Below are 25,381 nucleotides of genomic sequence, written 5' to 3' on the forward strand. Positions count from 1 at the left end.
TGTGTAGTATAAAATGGTAACTTGAAATCTTATAAATCTCAAATTTTTCTTGGCAAGGAAGAAGATGGGGAGGGAGAGTTGCCAAAAACTCAGTTTAAAATAAAAATAGATGGTCTGAATATTCTATATAAACATGTTGTGCTAAATTATGACTATTCTCTCTAAATGGGACATAGTTCTCTTGATCTTCTCCTAACCTCTTTATCTTCATTAATCTGTTTAATATCCATTTATTTTTGAGGTCTATGCTCTAGTCTGTAAAGATGGCTGACAACAATTTCTTCCCTCCCTGTTTACTCACAGGGTGTTGTCTATTTGCCCTCCACTTGTATACAGGCTGGCCTTTGTGACTTGCTTTGTACAGCTGATGTGACATCTTGAGACATCTGAGGTCAAGGCCTTAAGAAGACTGGTCGTTTTTTCTGGATGCTAAGAGAAGAAAGTGATTCAAGGAGGAGGGTGTAATCAACTTCATCAAGTGCTGCTGACAAGTCAAGTAGGATGAGGACCAGGAAGTGGTCATTGGAAATACCAGTGTGGATGTCATTTGCGATTTGGTAGATAGTAATCCGAGTGGAGCATTTGGAGCAAAATCCTGGTTTAAGTAGATTTAAGAAGAAATTGGAAGAAAGAAATTGGAGACAATGAGTACAAATAACTCTTTCTTCTCTTGCTAGAAATCCAAGAGCAACAGAGCAATGACTGAAGGAAGGTGCTGATAAATCACAAGAGCATTTTTTTTCAAGGTGGTAGAAATAACATCAGCTTATCTAAATGCTGTAATACACTTCTGAACCTTAACCTATAATTTAAAGACAGTACAGACTTGTTGCAAAAACACGATTTCTAAAAGCAAGGTTAATCCTTACCACATAATATCTTGGCAAAAATTATCTTCCTTGTGTTTCAATTTCATCATTTGTAATATGAATTAAAATAACCACTTTACAGAGGAGTTGGCCTGGTAAAATTTTTTTATTTAAGGTTCTAAGTTTGATAGTTCTCATTGTTCCATATTCTTTCATTTGCAACTTGGTAGAAAATATCAAAATTGATTCCAAGCAATAATGATTTTGATAAATGTATTAGGCCATTCTTGCATTGCTGTAAAGAAAATACCTGAGACTGGATAATTTATGAAAAGAGAGGTTTAATTGGCTCATGGTTCTGCAGGCTGTCCAGGAAGCATAGCAGCATCTGGTTTTGGGGAGGCCTCAAGAAGCTTCCAATCATGGCAGAAGGCAAAGGAGGAGCAGGCACATCACATGGCAAAAGCAGGAGCAAGAGAGAAAGAGGATGGGGGAGGATTACCACACATTTAAATGACCAGATCTTGTGAGAACTCATTCAGTATCACAAAGGCAGCACTATGCCATGAGGGATCCATCCCCATGACCCACATACCTCCCCACCAGTCCCCACCTCCATCACCTCCACCATCAGGGCTTAGGATTCAACATGAGATTTTGGCAGGGACATATATCCAAACTATGTCAATAAATACAATTTTTTTCACAGAAAATAGTAAGGTATAAAATTTAAAAATAAATCTTTAGTCTTGTAACTTTCCAAAACATTGGAGGGATGTATAAGTTAAAAAGTGAAAGAGGGTGTATGTGTAGGAGATTAAAACATTATAAACAAAAATTTGTAAGTGTTTGTTGCCTATTATATTCCAGCCAGATATTTTGTTGACAAATTCATGTTAAGTTGACCCTATTGTGTCATTAGAATTTATGAAAAATATGTTACCACATTTCATCATGGCCAGACCATATGTTGGGAAGAGTGACTAGTGGTAATTTACAGAGAAAAGACAAAGAACTGTGGCATCAGAATCCCTTCACCTTCGCAGCTGAGACTATATGCCCTAGGAATTACATATGTTTATGCTGTTGCTATTTTGCTTAAGATCATCTCTGAAAACTAGTTTAGAAAAGCAAATCTCTGTTGCTCTTATGACAAAAATGTAGATGTGAAGTGTAATGCAGGAATGGATAAATGAGTAGAATATTTTGGACTTAAAAGGCTCAAATGATTGGAGTAAATATTTATAATCATTTTGATGCAGTCTTTACAATCATGCCCTTTATGGCATAATATTTGGTTGTATTTTGTATACAATTTCAGGTTCATTTCATGTTGGCACCTATTTTCTGGGTTCTCAAGGGTACAACATGTGTTTTAGCCAGGTGCCAGTAATATTTTTATATGGTCTCTTTCTCGGTACTTGTAGGAAAATTATTCTTGTAATTGGAAGGCAGAAATAGTCTGTAGTCCAATTATATGTGCATAATTGTTTGTGTTCACTATAACCAATGTTTGATTGTCAGTAGTATAGAGGGCAATGTCTTGGTTTCTTCCTATTTTAATAATTAATTACATTTCCTTCTATGAAAGGGAGGTGGGAATAAAGCTTCATGTTTTTGTCAGACTCATTTGTTTCAATCTCCTGGTGTTAAACAAAATGCATCTGTTGAAAAAGAATGGGAATTTAGTTATACAGTTAAACTTGCTCTTTATTTTCATTATATGAAGGCAAACTTACTGACGCATCATGGCAATATCTATAGTAGGAATTTGATGAATTTTGTATAAAATAAAGATGTCTTCTCACTTCTGAATAGATTCATGCAACAATATTTACAAGATTTGTTGCTTGACCCTTATTAAATGCCAAATACTCACATGTTATGTCACGAGAACTCTACTATCTGTTTTTATGGTGAGACAAGCCCATCTGCTCACAAATGGCCGCCTTCCTGTGTCCAACAATAGAAGGGGATGGGTACCCCGCCTAGCCCTAGACTAATTGGAAATTGATATAATTTTGTTCTTTGACCTTCTTTTTTCTTTTCGAAAACTTAAACAGGTCTGAAAACCATTTAAGTAACATAGTCCATAACTGTTCATAGTAATCATAATAATGATTCTGATTTTTAGATATTTACTCTGTGACAAACACTGCACAAAGTTTTTACATGATTTATTTCATTCACATCTCACCACCCATCCCCCAGGAAGTAAGCACTATTTTATCTCAATGAATTTGAGGCTCACAGAGGTTATGTAACTTGACCAGGATCACATAGGAAGTTGCAGAAGGCACAAGCCTGGCTTTACCTGACTCCAAAGCCCCTGCAAGTAAACAATGTGCAGGTGGCCCCCTCTCAAGGAAAGATTCAGTAATGACAGACCTCAGGACTTTGCAGCCTCGTAGTTGATTGCTCTGCTTATTTATAAGGCTCACCCTAGGCAAGGCCTGCTTTAGAAGATAGTGGTTCTGTCTCCACCACTAGCCCCACAGAGTCACTCTAAAGAATGTTTGCAGTAAGGCTGAAGAGTTAAAATGGGGGCTCTAGCATCAGTCAGGCTTCTGTGCGAATTCAGCCTCTACCATCGACTTTGCGACCCCGACTAAAAGACTTAATTCTGGCATCCCCATCTATAAAGTAGAAATAATGACAATATTGACCCGCCAGGGTTGTTGAAGGATGAAATGGGATAAAACTTGTGATAATTTTCACTTAGTACTTGGTACTACCTTTGACTCAGGCCAGGTAATGATGTTGCCATACCAGGCAGATTAAGATTGAACAAGGAGAGTTCAACCAGCAGAAGGCACGGGCAGTAAGGGGTGGCAGAGAAAAAGAAGTTTTGGAGCCAGGCAGATTTTAATTCGCATTGCAAAGCTATTTTTGCACATTTTGGGATCTCCAATGAATATTTTGTTCAGAAAAAGCAATTCCTATCTCTTTCTGAAGAAATATGATCAGAGCAGAAATGGAATATGGACTAATTAGAATGTTTTTGATTAAAAGCTTAAATGTCTGAATATGATCATGATGCTTTCTTCAGTAGTATGCCATTTTATGGCCTTTACTATAATATTTTGTGTAACTGTTTATGTTCACTTATTATTGGCACATGTTTTCTGCATTCTCAAAAGCTGGTACACCAGTGTTTAATTCACATCACAAAACTCAACTTGCAATGTTTTTGCCTTTGGGCAAGTCCGTAAAACTCTATGAGCCTCCATTTTCTCACATAAAATTGGGCTATTAATATGAGACAGTATATATAAAGTGCTTTGTACGATGCTTAACACCTCAGTTGATTTCAACAAATGGTGGTTATTTTACTACTTTTCATAAAATCTCTATCACTTGTTTATGAATTCATTCAACGAGTGGTTTGGGTGCTCTTACATGCCATGAGCAATGCTACAGCTTGGGGAGATAATCCCTGCACTGGTAGCACTTGCTTTCTGGAGGAGGAGACAAATGAATAAACCAATAGAATAAAAGAACTACAGAAGGTTTGTGATAAAAGCTTCTAGAAAAACAAGCTGTGAAAGAGAATTCAGTGTTCATCTCTGAAGAAATGAGACTAAGGCTGAAGTTTGAAGGATGGCAAGGAGTTGGCCAGGCAAAAAGTGTAGGAAACATCAGGTGCAAAGGTCTGGAGGTGGAAATAAACTTCACTGTTCTGTCTCCAAGCAGAGCAAACTCATAAGGCAGAGGTAGGGGCGGAGCTCAGACAGGTGGTCTGGGGCTGGCCAGAGCAGGGTTTGCTGAAGAGTTGGACTTCTTACTCTACATACATGGAAGGATCATTTATGCATTTTACGTTGGGAAGTGGCATGATTCGATTTTTAAAAAGACGACTTTGGCAGCTATGTAGAGAATGGATGAGAGGGAGGCATGCGCACAAGTGTCAGACAAGAGGCTCTTTCCAGTGAGCCCAGGTGAAGGGTAGTAGTGCCTTGAGTTCCAGCAGTAGCAGTACAATGGACAGGAACTGTTGAGAGCTCTTTCAAGGTTAAACTAACAGGACTCCCTGCCAGATTGGCTCTGGGAGTGGTGAAGGAGCAGCAGCCACTGAATCAACACAAAGACTCATTTCTGATCACAGGTTTTGCTACCGATAGAAGAGATGGCTATTGATTATCGTGTGAGAGAAATGCCCGACTGAAAGTCAAGTGTGTTGGGTCAACTTGGATGTGTGAAGAGTGGGGGTGGTTTGGTGATCTTATTTGGGTGGATCCTGGCATTTTTCTAGTATTGTCTAGGTAATAGCTCACAATTTCCCTTTGCGTGGCCTTGACATGCCATATTGGAGCCAAAAGGAAAAATGTTTGTCCCTATATGCACTTACTGACACCTCCTCCCACAGTTTGGGCCAAGCGGACAAAGTTAAGAGAAGCTCTACAATGAAAAATCATGATGACACGGCAGTTACCAGGGACCGAAGAGAGGGAATAATGGAGAGTTACTCTTGAATATACACTGAGCTGCAGTTTGGGAATATGAAAAATTTCTAGACATGGATGGGTAATGGTTGTGCAGCAGTGTGCCTGTACTTATTGCCACTGAACTGTACGTTTAACAATGATTAAAATGGTAAATTGTACGTTACATATATTTCACCACAATAAATAATGCAAGAAAAAACTATACGTAAAATCACGTCCAAACTTTTCAGACATCGACATCAATCCTTATAAACCCACCCATCATGGGACACAAAAGCTGCTGGGGTCCAGGAACCAAGAGCTGATTGAAAAATAATGATTCTCGTTGCACAAAATGCAGCATTGTAAAACAAACAGCCAGCAACAGCCAGTCTGTACTTAATATTTTGATATTTTGTTCATAATTAGTTTTTGTCCATTACTTTCTATTTTTTGAAATCATGCATTAAAATATTTTTTATCTTGAAAGCTGAGTTTGGTGCTCTCTTAAATTTTGTGCCAAAGGCACAAAATGTATTTCCAAGTATCACCTGTTTGTTTCTGGTTTGAGAACCATCCCCCAACTGCTTAGCAGCTTTGCTGTGGACCAAGCATCTCTCAGAAACATACCTTTTTTCAGGCCCACCCTGGGGAATGAGACGCCCTGGTCCCTGTTGCTTTTGAGCCTCTCTAATCCTGCCAAAGGTCTCTATTGTCCGCTCCATTCCACTCTTCTCCCCTCCTGCAGAATGCAAGTCAAGGTAGGGAGGAATAAGAACCCACTCACTGCATCTGAGTTCTCCTCTCCTCTCCTTCTCTCTCTCTCTCTTTTTTTTTTTTTTTTTTGTGTTGTTGTTGTTGCTATTGTGCACTCCTGTGCCTCTAAACTGCCCATAAGAGATGTTTACTTCTACTCTGTGTGGCAAGAAACTGGCATTAGCCCAGTTTATGCTTTGGATTCTGTGCAGTAAAACTCCTTTATTTTTCCCATAAAGTGCCTAGTTTTTGCCTAAATTCAAAACTATTTTGTTGAAAGCACTTTGGCTTTCCGGTTATTACTCCTGCCACAGTTTTACAAAATCTACTCAGAAATCTACTTGAGGGCTTGTTGTAAACTTTTTGTGACAACCCCAACCCTGGCAAAGCAGCTACTGGTTGGGGAAGAATAATGGGTTTAAGGAATGTGGAGTGGCAGGGACAGTCACGTAATATATCTAATATCATCATCCAACCAGGTAAGATTAAATAAGCTCATGGTGAAGTATAAAGTACCCTGGGTTAGGAGTCAATGCTCTAAGTTCTAGCTGTGATTACCCCCAAGAAGGGCCAAGTGCTTCATGAAGAGATTGCATTGTCTGGTACTTAAAGGCACGAGCTTGGAAACCAGACAACCTGGGTCTGAACCTCAGCTCATCCAACCCTTCCTATGAGAAACTTGGTGTGAATTCATGCCTCTAAGCCAGTTTTCTCTTTTTAAAACTTCAATAATAATTATAATCCCCAGCTTACAAGGCATCTAGCTCATGAGAACACTAAGTTCATCCAAGCCCTTTTCTTCACCTTTAAAATTTGATCTCTAGCACCAAGGATTAAACATGAGGATGAAGGTCTGGGCACAGTGACTGGCACATAATAAGTGTTCAATAAATGATGACTCTTATTTTCTCCATATATGAAAGAAAAAAGAATATCTTCCATGGCTGAATTATAGTTTGTTAGAAGACTGATGCAATGTTATAAATATGAAATATTACAATATGAAATACTATTAACATACACAATAAAGGGCTAGGTCAATGTAAGGGATTCTTCTACAATGATTTTCAAATATCATTCAGTGACTAGTAATCAATTGTAAAGCACTCAAGAAATCAAATCCTTTAATGTTCTTCAGTCATGCCTAATGTCCTGTGATTATTGCAGGGGTCCACAAGCCCTTTTGGTAATAATTCATGTGTTTACCCATTCAGCAAATATTTGAGGACCACACACTATGTAACATACATGATTCTGACATTGTTCTAGGGATACAGCAGTAAGTTAAAAAGCCAAAATATTTTAACTTTAGATAAAGTAACTGTGAAATATCTATAACCAACCAAATTAAGGTTTCATGTGGGCAGCTGAATACATGATTCTAGAGTGTAGAAAGAGGGAAATCTGTCTTGGAAATGTAAATTCAGGGGAAATCAGAGAGTATATGTTACATAAGGCAAGCTATAAGCCATCTTAAAATTTAATCCTAATCTTTTCCAGTTCCAAAACGCTGATTTATTTTTTTCTTACAAGGAGCAGGAATGCAAAGACATCATCTCCAGTTATTGTGTTGGGAAGACAGTGTTGGGGAAGTGTTGGGGAAGACAGAGTTTGAGAAGGAAAGCAAAAGTCACTTAGGAGATCTCAGAAAGATAATCAAAGGAAAATTTTACTACTTGTTTATCTTTCTAAAATGTAAGTTAGTTTTCAAGTGAAAAGTACATTTTATAAACTTGGCAAATGCTTAGTGGGTCCTTTATTTGGACTGTGGATCCTTATATAAATTCAGAAAACAACAAAAAACAGTTTCAGATTGTTATATGTACTCTTTAATAGCTAATGTAATAAAGAAGGAAACAGCAATCACCCCAAGTTCTATCACTAAAAGATCATGACTATTATAAAATTGAGATATTTTCTCAGCTTCCTTTTCATATGTGATAGCTATCATTTTAATCAATATTTGAATATTACTATATATTAAGTTTTGAGCTCCATTCTGGGATCGCTAGTATGTCAAAGATTCTTCATAGGTTCCTCAATCTTCTTCTTTTTGTTTTTTTGGGACGGGGTCTCACTTCATCACCCAGGCTGAAGTGCAGTGGCACCATCTTGGCTCACTTCAACCTCTGGCTCCCAGGCCCAGGTGATCCTTCCACTCAGTCTCCCAAGTAGCTGGGACCACAGGCACACGTCACTATGCCTGGTTAATTTTGTAATATTCTGTAGAAAAAGGATTTTTAACATTTGGTGAATGTTTGACTAAGGGGACATACAATGTTCTGTTGAAGACTGAAGTTGTGTCCACTTTCGGATTAACAATATGTGTGTGTGATTTCGGATTAACAATATGTGTATATATAAGTGTGTGTGTGTATGTGTGTATGATTTCATTTTTATTTCATCTAATTTCCTTAGAAAAAAATCCTAAAAGTAAAATTACTAGATCAAAAGGTATAAATATCTTAATATGTATGATCTAATTACCTTCAGAAACATGCTGCCAATTTACACTCTCAACATCAGGAAAAGAGAAGTCATCTCAGTATCCACACTAAAACATTGGTTATTACTTGCTGATATATTAGACAAACTATAACACTATCCTTTATTTGTACATTTTATTATGAAAAATGTTAAATGTGCTTATTAATTCTGACTGTCTTAGCTTTTCTAACATCCTAGCAAATATTAATAATGTTATCTTTTCATTTATAGTAGTTATGTATTCTATTTTTTCTCACTGAATCATCTTGAATTTCCAAAACAATTTTGAATAATAATGGTCACAGTGGCCAGTGTCTAGAAGCAAAATTTCTGGAAGCAAATCTATAGTATGCAGCAATTCCATCAGAGCAACTTGGGAGAAAATTACATGAGTTATAAAGCAGATATTGAAAGAAAAATATAAAATTATACATGTCTATGGGTGGTTTAAATATGTTTGCCACTTGAAAAGAAACAGCAATATTTACTCATATTGGCTTTATTCTAGACTTATTTTTGCTGATCTCCTTTGAGAATGAATAAGGTTTCCTGTATATTTTTGGACTAAAGTAAATTAAAGACTTTTCATCCAAAATGGATTCAAAATAATTTTGTGGATCATATCTTAACATGTATTTCTAGCTGTCTCCACAATTTAGAAAAACTGGTTTCTTAAACAAATCAGCATAAAAATTTCTAAAGCACTGTATTCTTTTTTAACAACCCAAATAAACATAGCACATTCTTATTACTAATTTTGTTCTGAACAGCACACATCTTTGTGTTCTTTAACTAAACTATGTGTTTGACCAGTTTAAGTAGATAGAAGATATTCTGAAGCTCTTTTTCATATTAAAATAGTTCATTATAAAATAGCTTTTATATGACCTGAAGTTGCTCTTCATAATTTTTGGAATCCTAAAGATGTCCTGTAAATTTTGTACTTCATCCCTCCAAATTTGACTTTCACTTCATCAACCAGATAGGGAGTGTGTGGTAGAAAATGTAAATGCTCGATGTTCTTCTGAGAAACACATAAATATAGATTTGTTGGAATTACTACAGCTATCTGTCAGCCTCATGGCTTTTGGAGCCAAAATTCCCTAATTCCAAAATTATGAGCATGTGACAAAATGTGGTTTTATATTGCTAGAACTTTCATATATGCAAGTTAATAGACTGAAAAAATGGACTTGGGCTAATGAGAAGGATATCTTAATTCATCCTTTAGCAATCATTTGAAAATGTAACTCTTAGATTCATTCTGTTTTAGAGCTAGAAGCATCTGAAAGCAAATACATGAATCTTGCGTTTTTAGTCAGAGAAATTTACAATGGAAATGGAGACAGAAATGTTTTTACTGGGAGTAAGCAGCCACCCCATATTTCCTCCCCTCCTCTTTTCTCCTTTTGCTGGTTGGCAAGCCCACCTACTCATATTCCACAACATCCTCGTTGTTTATTTCCGTTTTAGAGGCAGACTTTGTAATAGGACACACTAGTGGGCAAATTCCAGTTGTATACTCCTAAGCAAATTGTTTAAATGATCTGAATCCAAATTTCCTCATCTGTTAAATGGGGTAGAAATTGGGAAGAGGTGGGTCACAAAAGTATGAAATTCATTGGGTTATCATGTCAATAAACTGTATTTAAGAGCCTGATACAATGCCAGTGGACATGACCGTATTTTATAGAGAGAGTTGATTATGCTTTACAGTGTGATTTTCCCCAGGATGCAATGTAGACCAACTAGAGGTTTTGAAATTAAATGAAAACCCCAACAAATATATCTGTTGATATCATTTTCATAAAATGATTACATAAAAAACACTTTCATGGGCCAGACATGGTGGCTCATGCCTGTAAGCCCAGCACTTTGGGAGGCCAAGGCAGTTGGATCACCTGAGGTCAGGAGTTTGAGACCAGCCTGGCCAACATGGTGAAACCCCATCTCTACTGAAAATACAAAGAAAAATCAGCTGGATGTGGTGGTGTGTGCCTGTAGTTCCAGCTACTCTACTCGGGAGGCAGCGGCAGGAGAATCACTTGAACCCGGGAGGCAGAGGTTGCAGTGAGCTGAAATCTCGTGACAGAGCAAGACTCTGACTCAAAAAAAAAAAACAAAAAAAAAACAAAAAAACCCACCAAACCAAAACAACACCAACAACAAAAATACTTTTGTGTATATCAGTTTTTCTCATTAATGTACTGCATGCAGCTCTAATATGGGGTAGATTTTTTTAAGTAAGGTAAGAAGGGTGTGTGATTATATTGTGTGAAAATAGTGGCATATTATTTTTGCTTTCATAATACTATTTTTATTTCAATATATATTCAACATATAATTGGAACATGAAACTCTGGATTTTGTGATGATAGTGAATTTTCTGTTAAAATACATGTAATCAAGAAAAAGGGGACCAATCAAAAACAACCAGTAAATAATAGTAGACATTGCACACAAATATGGTGCCATGGTTTGGTTTGTCCCCAACAAAATTGATGTTGAATTTTGACCCTGAAGATATTAGAAGATGGGGCCTAGTGGGAGGTGTTTGGGTCATGCAGGTGGATCCCTCATGAACGGATCAATGCCCTCCCTCAAGGGTGAGTGAGTTCTTGCTCATGCTAGAGCAGGTTGTTAAAAAGATCTGGTTTCGTTGGGTCCTCTTTCTTGCTTCCTCTCTCACCATGTGATCTCTGCACACATCTGCTCCCCTTCCACTTTCTGCCATGAGTTGAGGCAGTGTAAGGCTCTCACCAGACGCAGCTGCCCAATTGTGAACCATCCAGAATCATGAGCCAAATAAACATCTTTTCTTTATTAATTTCCCAGCCTCAGGTATTTTGTTATAGCAATACTAAATGGACTCAGACATGTGGCAAGAATTAGAGGTGGTTGTTGGCTAGGCAAGGTGGCTCATGCCTGTAATCCCAGCACTTTGGAGCGTGAGGTGGGTGGATCACTTGAGGCCAAGAGTTTGAGACCAGCCTGGCCAACATGGTGAAATACTGTCTCTACTAAAAATCACAAAAATTAGCCAGGTGTGGTGGTGTGCACCTGTAATTCCAGCTACTCAGGAGGCTGAGGCAAAAGAATCTCTTGAACCTGGGAGGTAGAGGTTGTAGTGAGCCGAGATCACACCACTGCACTCCAGCCTGGGTGACAGAGCAAGACCCTGTCTCAAAAAATAATAATAAATAAAAGAAAGAAAGAATACAAAAGTAGAGGTGGTTGTCATTCAGAATCTCAAAAGGAATTTATAATCATTTTATAGTACAGTTTAAGACTAATGTCAATGTTATCCACTAATATAATATTACATACTGCTCTATTAGTCTTTATTCCTTTTGTTTTCCTTTTTCATTTCCTTCATTCTTGTTTGCACTAGTAATTTATATAATAGATATTTTGTTTTTTCTCATGGACAAAGGTTTATCTCTCATTACAAATTAGACTCCACATTAACAGAGGTTTTCTGGATAATGTTTCATATCATTACATAATAAAGATAGAAGAGTTAAAGTGAAGAGCTACAACTCCTTTTGTAGATTAGCCAATAACTTGGGCAAATACTGAATTTAACAAGGATGAAGAAATTCTACATGATCCAAGAATGCAAGTTTCAATTTAGGCCTCTACCTTACTCTTACATAAGGCAATTACTAGCATTTAAGGTTAAAGTCACATGAATGTTCTTTGGATAAAATACAATCCCTGGTAATTTGAATGAAATAATTCAGTGATTATTTTCTCGAAATAATATGAAAATGAAGTATAAGTACAAATCAATTTATTTTTTAAGAAAAAATTATTCATTGCCAATTTCCAATACTACTTTTTCCATAATATTGTTTTATTTTTTTCTGGATATTTTTTCTATTTATTTTCACTTTTTGCAATTCAAAAACATTATTGAAAGTGTGGTTAAGATTTAGTCTAAGGATCTATTCCTTGCTAAAAGAAATATACCTTTTTAGCTTAGGTTTCCTTTTTGGAAAAGCTCAAAGCAATTTTATTAGCAAAAATTTTCCTTTTGCCTAAGGCAAAAACTAGTGAAATTATGCCATATGAAAGAGATTATTAAATATTTTATTTTGCTTTTTGAAAAAGTCATGAGCAAACATTTACAAGGTTCTTCTTTATACTGAAGTTTATTTTTATAAACCTTTACTAAAGAAGTGCTTGTCCTCTTCCTAATCACATTTCTTTAGTATGTCTTCAGGACTTACTAAAATTCAACAGATAATTAAGCAGCCCTGTTTTTCCAGGTTACTTAAAAGTGTGACCCTGTATGCTCTGTGGAAATCCTGCTTTATTATGTCCTTGTCTTTCAGTATTGTCCATAGTCTCAAATCTGTTCTGTAGAGTTAAAATGTATATTGACATAGAAAGCCTTCTAGGGGAATGTGTGGTTGTTAGCAGAGTCTTGGTTCTTTTAGAATTTCAGTTGTTATTTAATCCGGAGCAATAGAACTAGGTTTGTGGAATAATAAAACATATATTTCTTACTGAAACACCATCTGAAAATACACATCCTTCCATAAATTGAGTGGTTCAGTTGGTATTTTTTCCTGTTTGATACGTGAGAATAAGGGAATTGACATATGAATGCCTACAATATGCATGCACAGTTTTAGGGGCCTTATAAATGTTTTCTTAATTAAATTTTCACAACATCTTAATGTGGATGCTACATTGTTTCATGAAGTTCATCATTCATGGATTAAGTTGGTGTATTTTTTTAAAGGTTTTAAAAATATATTTTAACAAAATTAGTAAAATATAGTACATAGTCTCTTAGGAAAATGTATTTCAAAATTATAAATCATGGGCTAGGTGTAGTGGCTTACGCCTATAATCCCAACACTTTAGGAGGCTGAGGTGGGCGGACCACCTGAGGTCAGGAGTTCAAGACCAGCCTGGCCAACATGGTAAAACCTCACCTCTACTAAAAATACAAAAATTAGCTGAGTGTGATGGCATTCACTTGTAATCCCAGCTACTCAAGAGGCTAAGGCAGGAGTATCACTCAAACCCAGGAGGCGGAGGTTGCAATGAGCCGAGATTGTACCACTGCACTCCAGCATGAGTGAGAGAGCAAGACTCCATCTCAAAAAATTACAAAATACATATATATGTATATATATATCTCTCTCTACCATTTATATACCACATATGTGTGTATATATATTATATATATATCATGTGTATGATAGATATATTTTCTTAATCAATATCATAGTAGCTGAGACTTCCATATAGTCTGTATGGTCTGTATGCTTTATAGTCACAGATGCCCATTTAATAAATAATTTCTTTTGCTACTTCAGTGTGTTAGTTTAGGGAGGTGCAGAAAAAGAGACTGTGTGGATAACATTATTATTTTGCATAATGAGCAATGAAATCAAATGATGGTCTTAAAGAGTTTGTGTGCCCACCCATTCCTACCCTGCCCTGTGCAGACAAAAACATATTTGACTTGTCCTGCCTCAGTTTACAGCAGGGAAGCCAAAGAGGAGAGGCCCAGTCAAAATTTTCTGTGAGGAGACAAAACAAACACCCAAAGCCAGGGGATAGGGGCCAAAACAAATTTGGAAACAGGCACAAAAATGGATTAACGTGAAAAGAGTGGATGACAGGTGTACAAGAGATGGATGTTCATGTTTGAGAGTCTTAGTGGTTCAAAACTGACCCTAGATAATGCACCTATCTTCAGGTAGTTCTAGGACTTTGGGTTATCTTATACTGTAGATCGCAGATTGGCAAACTATGACTCGCAGTCTCAATCTGCGTTGCGATCTTTTGTGTAAATAAAGTTTGATTGGAACACGTGCTCATTCATTTACTTATTTTCTATGGCCCCTTTCACACTAGAGTGACAGAGTTGAGTGATTGTGAGAGACTCTCTAGGCCACAAAGTCTAAAATATTCACAACAGAGTTCTTCATATAAATTGTTTTCTGACTCCTCCTGTATAGAAATCTTATAATAGGATACTAAATGTCCTCATTTGTATCTTCTGATCACAGATATAGATATAAAGTTAGATGTACACAAATATGTGTATACATAATGTATACAGATAAGTATGTATATGTGTGATACTTATGATCCTTATGTTTGATAAAAAATCCTTCTTGATCCAGAATAGATATTATTATCTCTATCAAATTTTACTTTAAGGATCTAAATACTACTTACAAGTCTTGACAAATAGGTTATAATTTTCAAAATACAAAGTCCATGTTTCAGTGTAGTCTCAGATATTTTTTCATCAATTTTCAAAATACTGATTATATGGAATCTTTAAAATGTGTTGTGAATAGGTTTTTGATTCTGTTTAAAATATCTAGTGATTAAAAATTTTACTGTTATTAAATTTAAGCTAATTTAGCATGACATTGTCATGGATATTATGTAGTTTCTTATGATCATTATAATGGTGCTAATGATATGCATATCATTAGCATCATTATTACAATGTTTGCTCATATTCTTTTTGGGGGATTAGTTGATATTTAAGGTCACACAATTATGAAAAAACTCATTATCCACGATTTGGAGACCAAGGAATGTTGTGTATCAAATTTAGCCTATATAAAACATTAATGGACATTATATTGACCTGGATTCATGTAGACATCTTTCCATATGGCAGTTTTGATCTTGTCAAGATTCAGAGATACCCGGTAGACACAGAAGACCAGATGGGAAGGAGCTACACTGACTTGATATAATTAATCTTCTTGGGATTCAAGCATAAGAATAAAAATTATGGTAAGGATTATATATAATGTGAATGAGTTTAGAGTCCTCATATTAAGTAGGTATGACTCTCTTCTGCTTCTGAGCATGATGGAGTAGTGATAACAGATTTGCATCCCTGTCATAAACAACCAGCATTTAAAAAATATCATAAGAAATAACATCAGATAAAATGCAGCACAAGACTATAATCCCTGAAAGAAGGCAAACAAAGAAGCAAGCCCTACGACTGCCCTGGGTTTCTATCCGAGGCACTTTCTGGACAGCACTGTATTTCTACACTGCAAAGCACAACAATCTCCCTGAGTTGAGGAGTCAGAGCCCAGAGTTTGGCAAGCTGGAAGCCACTAGAGTATGATGGAATAATGGAGAGAATGGAACTTAAGAGAAAGAATCTCCAAAAATCTGCAAAGTGTCATATTGAGTCTTTAGCACACTACTGTTTATGTGTAGGATGAGAGTCCATGAGGCCAGCAAAACCAAAACAAAGCAAAACAAATAACAACAACAAAAAACATCAGTGAAAGAAGAACTACCTGATGGCTAAAAGTGGAACAATTCCCAGAGCTCTCATAGGCTGGGAGATACTCAAGTTTGAACCAACTAGAGTGACATGACTCTAAACAATGGGGCATTTGGTAGATACCAAATAAGGGTCACCACATAATAGTAGGTGTGCTAAACAAAACCCTACATGAAAGCTTATCCTAGACCTTCCCTACCAAAATTTTAAAATTAGGCTGAAAGCCTAAAGCTTCACTGATGGCCAAAAAATAAAATAAAATAAATTATCAACACTTTTTAAAGAAAGAAAAATCCTGGCATTTAACAATATCTAAAAATTGAAATATCTAATCACAAATTACTACACACCCATAGTATAGTAGAAGAAGCAGGAAAATGTGACCCATGACCAGAAGGAAAGGTTTTTATGACTATGTTAAATGACTTAAAGGAAACTATGAGCATAATAGACAAAAAATAAGTCATAAATAGACAACCAAATGGAACTTCTAGAGATGAAAATCTAAAAACTAAAATAACAGATTCACAGAATGGGCTTAATAGGAGATTAGACCCTGCAGAGAAGTAATCGATAAGCTTGAAGACATAGTAATAGAATAGAAATTATCCAATTTTAAGAACAAAAAGCTTGAAGATAATAAACAGAGACTCAGTGACTTGTGGGACAACAGCAGGCAGTCGAATCTGCATGTAGCTGGACTCCGGAAGGAGAGGGTAGAGTAGAAGACAGAAAAAGTATTTAAAGAAATAATGGCCAAAATTTGTTCACGTTTTATGAGACTATAAGCCCACAAAGCAGGGAAGTTCAATGAATAATGTGTAGGATAAAAATAAAACTATATCAAGGTACATTACAATCAAGTTTTTGAAAATTAATGATAAGAAGAAAAAATCTTAACCAATGCCTGAGAAAAAGGCATATTCAATACAGGGAGTCTATTGTAAAACATGGTGACTATATTTAGTAACAATGTATTGCATTCTTGAAAATTGCTGAAAGAATAAATGTTAAGTGTTCTCATCACACAAAAAAAATGTAAACTAATGCTTATGTTAATTAGTTTTATTCAGCCATTCCCCAGTGTACACATATTTCAAAACATCATGTTGCACATGATAAATACATCCAATTTTTATTTGTCATTTAAAATAAACAAATACAAGGAAACAAAAGTAAGAACTACTACTAACTTTTCATCAGAAATAATTCTAACCAGAAGACAATGGAAAAACCTCATTTAAGTGCTGAAAGAAAAATAAGTACAATTAACTTAGAATTCCATATCCTATGAAAATATTCTTTACAAAATGAAAGTACTATAGGTTTTAGACAAAATCTGAGAGAATTTGTGCTAACAGACCTATACTTCAAGAAATGTTAAAGGAGCCCAGACATGGTAATATATGGAAAAATTTAAAAGAATTTGATTTCTTGGTTTTAAACATTTTTTAAAAAGATAGTTGACTGCATAAAGTAAAAATAGCAACCATATATTAGGAAGCTTATAGCATATATAGAAATAAAATTTATGGCAACAAGAGCACAAAGGATGATAGAAGAGAAATGGAAAGTTTTATATTATACATGATGCAATATTTCAATGTAGGCAATGATCAGTTGAAGATGCATGTGGTAATCCTAGAACAATCATTAAAATATAAAGCAAATAAATGTAACTTAAAAAGCTAATGGGCTGATGGAGGAGATTAATTGGAATTCTAAGAAGGAACAACCACCTAAAAAAGGCAGTAAAAGAGGTAAAAGAGAGACAATAGTTGAGACAGGTAGAAAACAATGAGTGAGATGATAGGCTATGTAACACTGAAACATTAAACGTAAATAATCATATGTATTAGTCTGTTTTCGTGCTGCTGATAAAGACACACTCAAGACTGGGAAGAAAAAGAGGTTTAATTGGACTTACAGTTCCACATGGCCAGGGAGGCCTCAGAATCATGGTGGGAGGCGAAAGGCACTTCTTACATGTTGTTGGCAAGAGAAAATGAGGAAGATGCAAAAGGGAAAACCCTGATATAACCATCAGATCTTGTGAGACTTATTCACTGCCATGAGAACAGTATGGGGGAACCACCCCCATGACTCAAATTATCCCCCACCAGGTCCCTCCCACAACACATGGGAATTATGGGAGTACAATTCAAGATGAGATTTGAGTGAGAACACATCCAAGCCATAATTTTCTACCCCTTGTCCCTCCAAATCTCATGTCCTCACATTTCAAAACCAATCATACTTTCCCAACAGTCCCCCAAAGTCTTAACTCATTTCAGCATTAACCCAAAATTCCACAGTCCAAAGTCTCATCTGAGACAAGGAAAGACCCTTCCGCCTATGAGACTGTGAAATTAAAAGCAAGCTGGTTACTTCCTAGATACAATGGGGATACAGGTATTGGTAAATACAGCCTTTCCAAATGAGAGAAATTGGCCAAAACAAAGGAGTATAGGGCCCATACAAGTCCAAAATTTCCTGTGGGGCAGTCAAATTTTAAAGCTTCAAAATGATCTCCTTTGACTCCATGTCTCACATCCAGGTTATGCTGATGGAAGAGGTGGGTTCCCATGGTCTTGGGCAGCTCTGCCCCTGTGGCTTTCCAGGGTACAGCTTCGCTCCCAGCTGCCTTGAGTGCTTTGGGCTGGCATTGAGTGTTTGCAGCTTTTCCAGGTGAATGGTGCAAGCTGTAGGTGGATCTACCATTCTGCAGTCTGGAGGATGGTGGCCGTCTTCTCACAGCTCCACTAGGTGGTGCCCCAGCAGGGGGCAGAGCCCCAGTGGGAGCTCTGACCCCACATTTCCCTTCTGCACTGCCCTAGCAGAGTTTCTCCATGAGTGCCCTGCCCCTGCAGCAAACTTCTGCCTGGGCATCTAAGCATGTCCATACTTCTTCTGAAGTCTAGGCAGAGGTTCCCAAACCCCAGTTCTTGACTTCTGTGAACTCGCAGGCTCACCACCACATGGAAGCTGCCAACGCTTGAGGCTTGCACCCTCTGAAGCCACGGCCCAAGCTCTAGGTTGGTCTCTTTCAACCACGGCTGAAGCAGCTGGGACACATGGCACCAAGTCCCTAGGCTGCACACAGCACAGGGACCCTGGGCCCTGCCCATGAAACCATTTTCTCCTAGGCCTGTGGGCCAGCGATGGGAGGCGCTGCCATGAAGACCTCTAACATGCCCTGGAGACATTTTCCCAATGTCTTGGGGATTAACATTCAGCTCCTCGTTGCTTATGCAAATATCTGCAACCAGCTTGAATTTTTCCTCAGAAAATGGATTTTTCTTTTCTATCACATTGTCAGGCTGCACATTTTCTGAACTTTTATGCTCTGCTTTCCTTATAAAACCGAATACCTTTAACAGCACCCAAGCCACCTCTTTAATGTTTTTCTCCTTAGAAATTTCTTCTGCCAGATATCCTAAATCATCTCTCTCAAGTTCAGAGTTCCACAAATCTCTAGGGCAGGGGCAAAATGCTGCCAGTCTCTGCTAAAACATAACAAGAGTCACCTTTTCTCCAGTTCCCAACAAGTTCCTCATCTCCATCTGAGGTCACCTCAGCCTGGACCTTATTGTCCATATCACTATCAGGGTTTTGGTCAAAGCCATTCAATGAGTCTCTAGTAAGTTCCAAATTTTCCCACATTTTCCTGTCTTCTCCTGAGCCCCCCAAACTGTTCCAAACTCTGCCTGTTACCCAGTTCCAAAGTCGCTTCCACATTTTCAGGTATCTTTTCAGCAATGCCCCTCTCTACTGGTACCAATTTACTATATTTATCTGTTTTCACGCTGCTGAAAAAGACATACCTGAGACTAGGAAGAAAAGGTGGTTTAATTGGGCTTACAATTCCACCTGGCTGGGGAAGCCTCAGAATCATAGCAGGAGGCAAAAGCACTTCTTACATGGTGGTGGCAAGAGAAAATGAGGAAGGTGCAAAAGCGGAAACCCCTGACAAAACCATCAGATCTACTGAGACTTATTCACTACCATGAGAACAGCATGAGGGAAACCACCCCCATGATTCAAATTATCTCCCACCTGGTGTCTCCCGTAACACATGGGAATTATAGGAGTACAACTCAAGATGAGATTTGGGTGGGGACATAGCCAAACTATACCATCATACAATTGAGAAATTTGCCATGGGACTGTATTCTGATGACTCAACATAATCATTGATACCAACCATTATTTTATTTTGTGACATTTCCCCAAAAATATATTTCATTTAATAAATTGATAACATTCCATCAGGATATGAGAATTTGGAAATGACATTTTAATTTTCTTTGAGATTAATTTCATAAAATATGACTAAATAGAAAAACTTATCACACAACGTTTTTTGCATACAGATCAAAAGTCACTTAAGAGAGAGAAGAAAAGCCTCAGAAGACAAAGGCTTTGCTTAAAAAAAAAAAAAGAATTAGAGAAAAACTTTAAATGTGTAAAGTGTTGATCATGGAATGTGTAGACATGTATTTTGGTTGCAACACTGGCTCCAAGTAATTATAAGGCCTTATCCATGTCATTTAACCTCTCCCATGCTTGGTTTCCTCTTCTGTAAAATGAGAGGTGGTCTGCGTCATCAAGGCTCTTTGGAACCAAAGATCAAATTAAGGCACAATTGATATAGTAATAAGGCCAATATTGTAAAAATGTACTCCTGCTTTTATTATCCTTGTTGGTGTTGGAAATTAGAAAAAGAAAGTCTCAGAGTGCAAGATAGATAGATTTGTTCTTTTATTCATTTTCATGTATTTTTTTAAAAATAATTTCAACTTTTAGATCGAAGGGGTACATGTCCCGCTTTGTTACATGGGTATATTTTATGATACTGAGGTTTGGGGTATGACTGATCCCATCATCCAGGTAGTGAGCATAATACCCAACAGTTTTTCAACCCCCTAGCCCCACCCACCCTGCCAACTTTCCACTTTAGTAGTCCCCAGTCTACTGTTGCCATGAGATAGAGTTATTTAAACCTGTTGTTATTATGTCCTTTAGAACCTTGACTTTTGATCCACAAGCCTCAGGCTTCTGAACTGAAAAATCTTTTCCCCCTAAACTATTCTCCATCTGGACTTTGAATATCTAGTTACCTCTCCATTTGCCTCATGCTGTCGGCATCCATGTTGCCTTCCTTCCCAGACCCTGCTTGTGAATCCGTTCTACAATCTGTCTTCCACTAGGCTACATGCCCTATTTTAGAAAACCAGGTATAGTGTTCATTCTGTAGCTGCAGAAGTGAAGATGACACCTTGATTCTGGTGCCTTGACTGTCAGTCACCTCTACTCTCTAATCATTGCTCTTGGGCTTTTCATCCCCTAAGACATTGTTTAAAAGACAAATATAATAAGACATTGATAGTCTACACTAAGGATATCAAGTACGTGGTCTATTTTTAATGTGCATTTAGAACATGACTTCCAGGAGGCCTAAATATAAGTTTACTTGAGAAGGGAAAAAAGGGTTTCAGAAACAAACAAGTTAGAGAAACACTGGATTAATGAAGGCTAAATATATTTCTTTACTGCAAGATTTTTTTAAAACCTTCATTATGGCAATGAGAATTATAAAGTGGCAATAAAATTCAATCTCCACAATTTTATAATTTGTTACTATCGCTTAAATTTGATTAGGCTATAGCTTAAAACAAAGCAGCATAATGAACTTAAGAAATTATAATTTAACCCTCTGCCTACTGCCGTAAATAGAAATGAAAAGTATTTATCATGAAATTGATTATGGAAGTTATTACTAGGGCTTGCTTTTAGCAGGACAATGCACAGCAATGACCTTCCAAAAATATTGTCTCTTTTCACTGAAACCCATAAGAAATTGGCATCTTTTACTTTATGCTTTCAATCTATTTGTGCTGTTACCACCTATTGGGCTGTATATTTTCTGAGGGCCGGAGCACTGTCTCATTCATTATTATATCCAAGAAGCCAAGTGCATTGACATTGTTTAGCACAACCGACCATCCTTTTATTTACCCCTACCCCGCGCAATTAGACTTCAATTCTTTTGAAGACCATCATTGATCTACGTAAAATAGCACAGGTACAGCCTGTAAAGGAGATCTAAAAGTAGCACTTTAAAGCCAACAGAGACAAGAATTTTGCCAAGTTATCTTGACTAAAAGGGAGGTAGATTTAGGATTCATTTTCAAATGAAGTTTTTATATTCTCTTTGTCAGATACAGTTAGCTTTAGATAGCTTAGATTTCAGTCTTTCTGGAAGTAAGGATTTTAAATAAGTGAAGTAGTTCTTGATTTGTGGACAGAAATTTCATTTTACAGGAGAGTCTTGAACATTTCAGTACAGAACTTTCATCCACCTACAGCAACATAGTTAGGTGAGAAACATTCAGCATATCCACTTATAATAGCAGAATCAACAACTATTTTTTCATTGTTTATTTCTAGACATTTAAATTTTTTGGTTCTTGTGATGTTAACTGGGTATCACAATGATATGGTTTGGCTGTGTCCCCACCCAAATCTCATCTTGAATTGTAGCTCCCATGATCCCTATGTGTTGTGGGAGGAACCCAGTGGGAGGTAATTGAATCATGGGGGCAGGTTTTCTTGTGGTGTTCTCGTGATAGTGAGTAAGTCTCACAAGAACTGATGGTTTTATAAATGGCAGTTCCCCTGCATGCACTGTCTTGCCAGCCGCCATTTAAGAAGTGCCTTTGCACCTCCTTTGCCTTCTGCTATGATTGTGAGGTCTCCCCAGCCATGTGAAACTGTGAGTCCATTAAACCTCTCTTTCTTTATAAATTACTCAGTCGTGGGTATTTCTTCATAGGAGTATGAAAATGGGCTCATACACACAGCATATGTATAATGATGAGAATGATTTTTTCTTATGCTTTAATAATGATGAAAAATGTATATACACATGAAACATGTAACAAAAACTACTTCAACTGTTTAGAACCAAGAAGGACATTTCCTCCTGGTTTAGACTAATTTTTAATGATCTCACAACCCATTCTATTCACTTTTCAATTTCCTTTCATGTTAATGAGGGGAAGCTTTTAAAGGACTAATTCAATGCTGATGAAAGTAAAAGCAGTTAAACTTCATGAATTGAATATGTAAAAACATATTAACCATTATGGACTTGTCTTACCAAAGTGATCAGACAGACTTCCTTAAATGTGATGTAGTGTAGGGGTCAAACCCCCACATTATGTCATATGTACATCCTAGTATAAGCACATGAGGCCAACAACCTTCTTGAAATTATATGCTTAATATTTTCTTAATGCATAGTACATTTAACAAAATATTTAATTATTAAAATAGTTTTCAAAACAAATAAAAGACTAAAATGCCTAGATGCTTACAGTTTCTTTAAACTTTGGAAAAAGTGTAAGTATGCAAAGTGATCAAGTCAAAAGAACAAAGAGTTGTCAGTTTACTAAGTGGTTGCTTTGCTCACAGGATATCGAATGGTGCAGAAGTGTTTGCTAAAAGTTGAAGTATAAGTAAGTCATGCTTTCTGGGTTATGATGAGGACATCAGTAGCACAGATCAACAGCACATTCATGGTATTTTAACACGATATTTCCTTTTCCTGCTTTGATGTCAAAGCAATGCACTGCTGTCGCTTAGCAGGGATAAGATGGAAATAGTTGGTAGATTAGAGTCTACTTAGAAGCCCAAGGGGCTTCATTTCTATAACTAGAATTGGTGACATCTTGAATAAAATCGGGTACTCAACTTAGTAGGCTAAAGTTGTTCTTAAGATATTGCCAACATTCTTGTGCCTCAAGTCTGTCAGCGATTACAATAATAATTATTCTAATTCTCAGCTTGACCAACTACAAGTTAAGGTATTTCAAGTCAAAAATGATGCCTAGCAAGCAGACTTTAAGAATGGCGGCAACTTCAACTAAACAGTTATTTTGTTGTTGTTGTTTTTTGTTTTTGTTTTTGTTTCTTCTTAGCACAGAACCGGCAATTCTTAAGAAAATAACCTTAAAAGAAGTCTTAAAACCTGTATTTCCTTACTTAAGGAAACTAGAAATAAAGAAATCACAATACCAAACAAGTGAAGGAAATGTCAAATATCTTGTGTGCTCTGAAGCTTCTAACTTGAAACGCCTCTTTTAGGTACTATAATTTGAGATACCTACAAACAGAAATTCTTTAGCCTTCTTTAGTAATCTGCTCCAGTGTTCAATCTTTATTTTTCCTATATGTCAAGCTGAACTCTCTATTGCCTCAATGGCCGTTTAGGCTATGTTTCAGTCTAGACAAACATTTCTGTGTTTAGTTCCACATAAAAAATTTTCTGAAATTGCTCTTTGTGTAATAGCTCAAGTGGATTCATGCAAAGTCACCCTGAAAAGGACCAGGAGAAGGAAATCAGCACCCAGCTGAAGTGCTGTATTGTAAGCCTGTCCTACAGAAGCCAAATTAATTGTAGAAGCAGAAAATGTACGCAGAGTAATCAAAATACAACATCAAATATATTAAAATTACATAAAAAGAAACTGAAGGCTGGAATTCCCCCAAGAGGGCACAACTACATATTTGTCCTCAAGACATTGCTGAGACAAAAGAGACCCAAATACTTCTTACAAAACATTTTGTGGAGATTCTGCTTGCTATGCATATTCTATATATTTTCAGAAATTGTGTGTATAAATAGCATGTCAAAAAAGGGCACTATTTAGGGAAAATAATAGGCATTCATTAAAATATGGACAATAGAAAATGAAGTTTCTTCATGTTTCTAAAATTAGAGGAAGACGATTCAATAATAAATAGCTCTGCCATTATTAGTTTGCAGTCCCTTTTGTTAATTGCACCTTTTGTTACCTTTACAGTCTGTCTAAACAGTGTGCTTGAAGGCTCAATATTGTTTTCTAGCTAGTCCTTTTAAAAACTGTTCTGAAGCATATCAGGCAAACAGAAAGTAGGAGAAGGGAGTATGTAGTCTTTTGTAGAAAAGAGCTTAATAAATAGAATATGAGAATAATTATTGATACCTGTCCTACATTTATCTTAGATAACTTGGTTCTATTGAGAGGCCTCTGAAAATCTCTAGTTTCTGATCATTAAGCAGTTTGTAAAGTCTTGTGTGAGGCACAAATTTTGACAAGTATAAAACTGATTTGCTCTGGTTCACAACATGTAAAAACCCATTATCATGGGTCATTTCAGCTCATCCCATGACATGGTATTGAGAAACAACCTCTGGCCCATTTCTTACTATATTCATAAAGCTTAAAATATAATGAGATGCTAGACTTTATCAAAATGATTAGTTTATTAATTTTAGAGTAAGAGGAAAATAACTAAAAAGTAACAAATATAAAAATGAAATGTATGTTTTCATAAATAACCAACCTATTACAGTATCGCAATAAAAGGCATCCCCTGCAAAGGTGGCTATACCTGCACTTAGTAAGACTGTCACTTACTGTGTGATCTTCAGTAAGTTAATACTCTTCCTGATCTAAACAGTGAAGGTAACTAATAACTGGTTTTCCCATGAAGTTATGAGAGAATCAAAATCAGAGTCCAAAATACAACTAGAAATAGTTGGCTAAACTATTTTAGAGACCATATGA

General features: G+C 36.6%; 1 long non-coding RNA gene across 3 annotated transcripts in view; it reads left to right on the forward strand.

The window, feature by feature from the left end:
- The window catches only part of SAMMSON (survival associated mitochondrial melanoma specific oncogenic non-coding RNA), a 435,002-nt gene that overhangs the window by 389,683 nt on the left and 19,938 nt on the right, over positions 1 to 25,381 (forward strand). The window contains exon 10 of one of the 3 annotated variants that reach the window (NR_186030.1): positions 304 to 2,433. The exons of the other annotated variants lie outside the window; for them this stretch is intronic. This is a non-coding gene — a long non-coding RNA (survival associated mitochondrial melanoma specific oncogenic non-coding RNA). Of the gene's footprint in view, positions 1 to 303; positions 2,434 to 25,381 lie in introns of those variants that run through there. 3 annotated transcript variants of the gene reach the window in all.

The sequence above is a fragment of the Homo sapiens genome, chromosome 3 (genome assembly GCF_000001405.40).
Source record: "Homo sapiens chromosome 3, GRCh38.p14 Primary Assembly".
Taxonomy (NCBI): domain Eukaryota; kingdom Metazoa; phylum Chordata; class Mammalia; order Primates; family Hominidae; genus Homo; species Homo sapiens.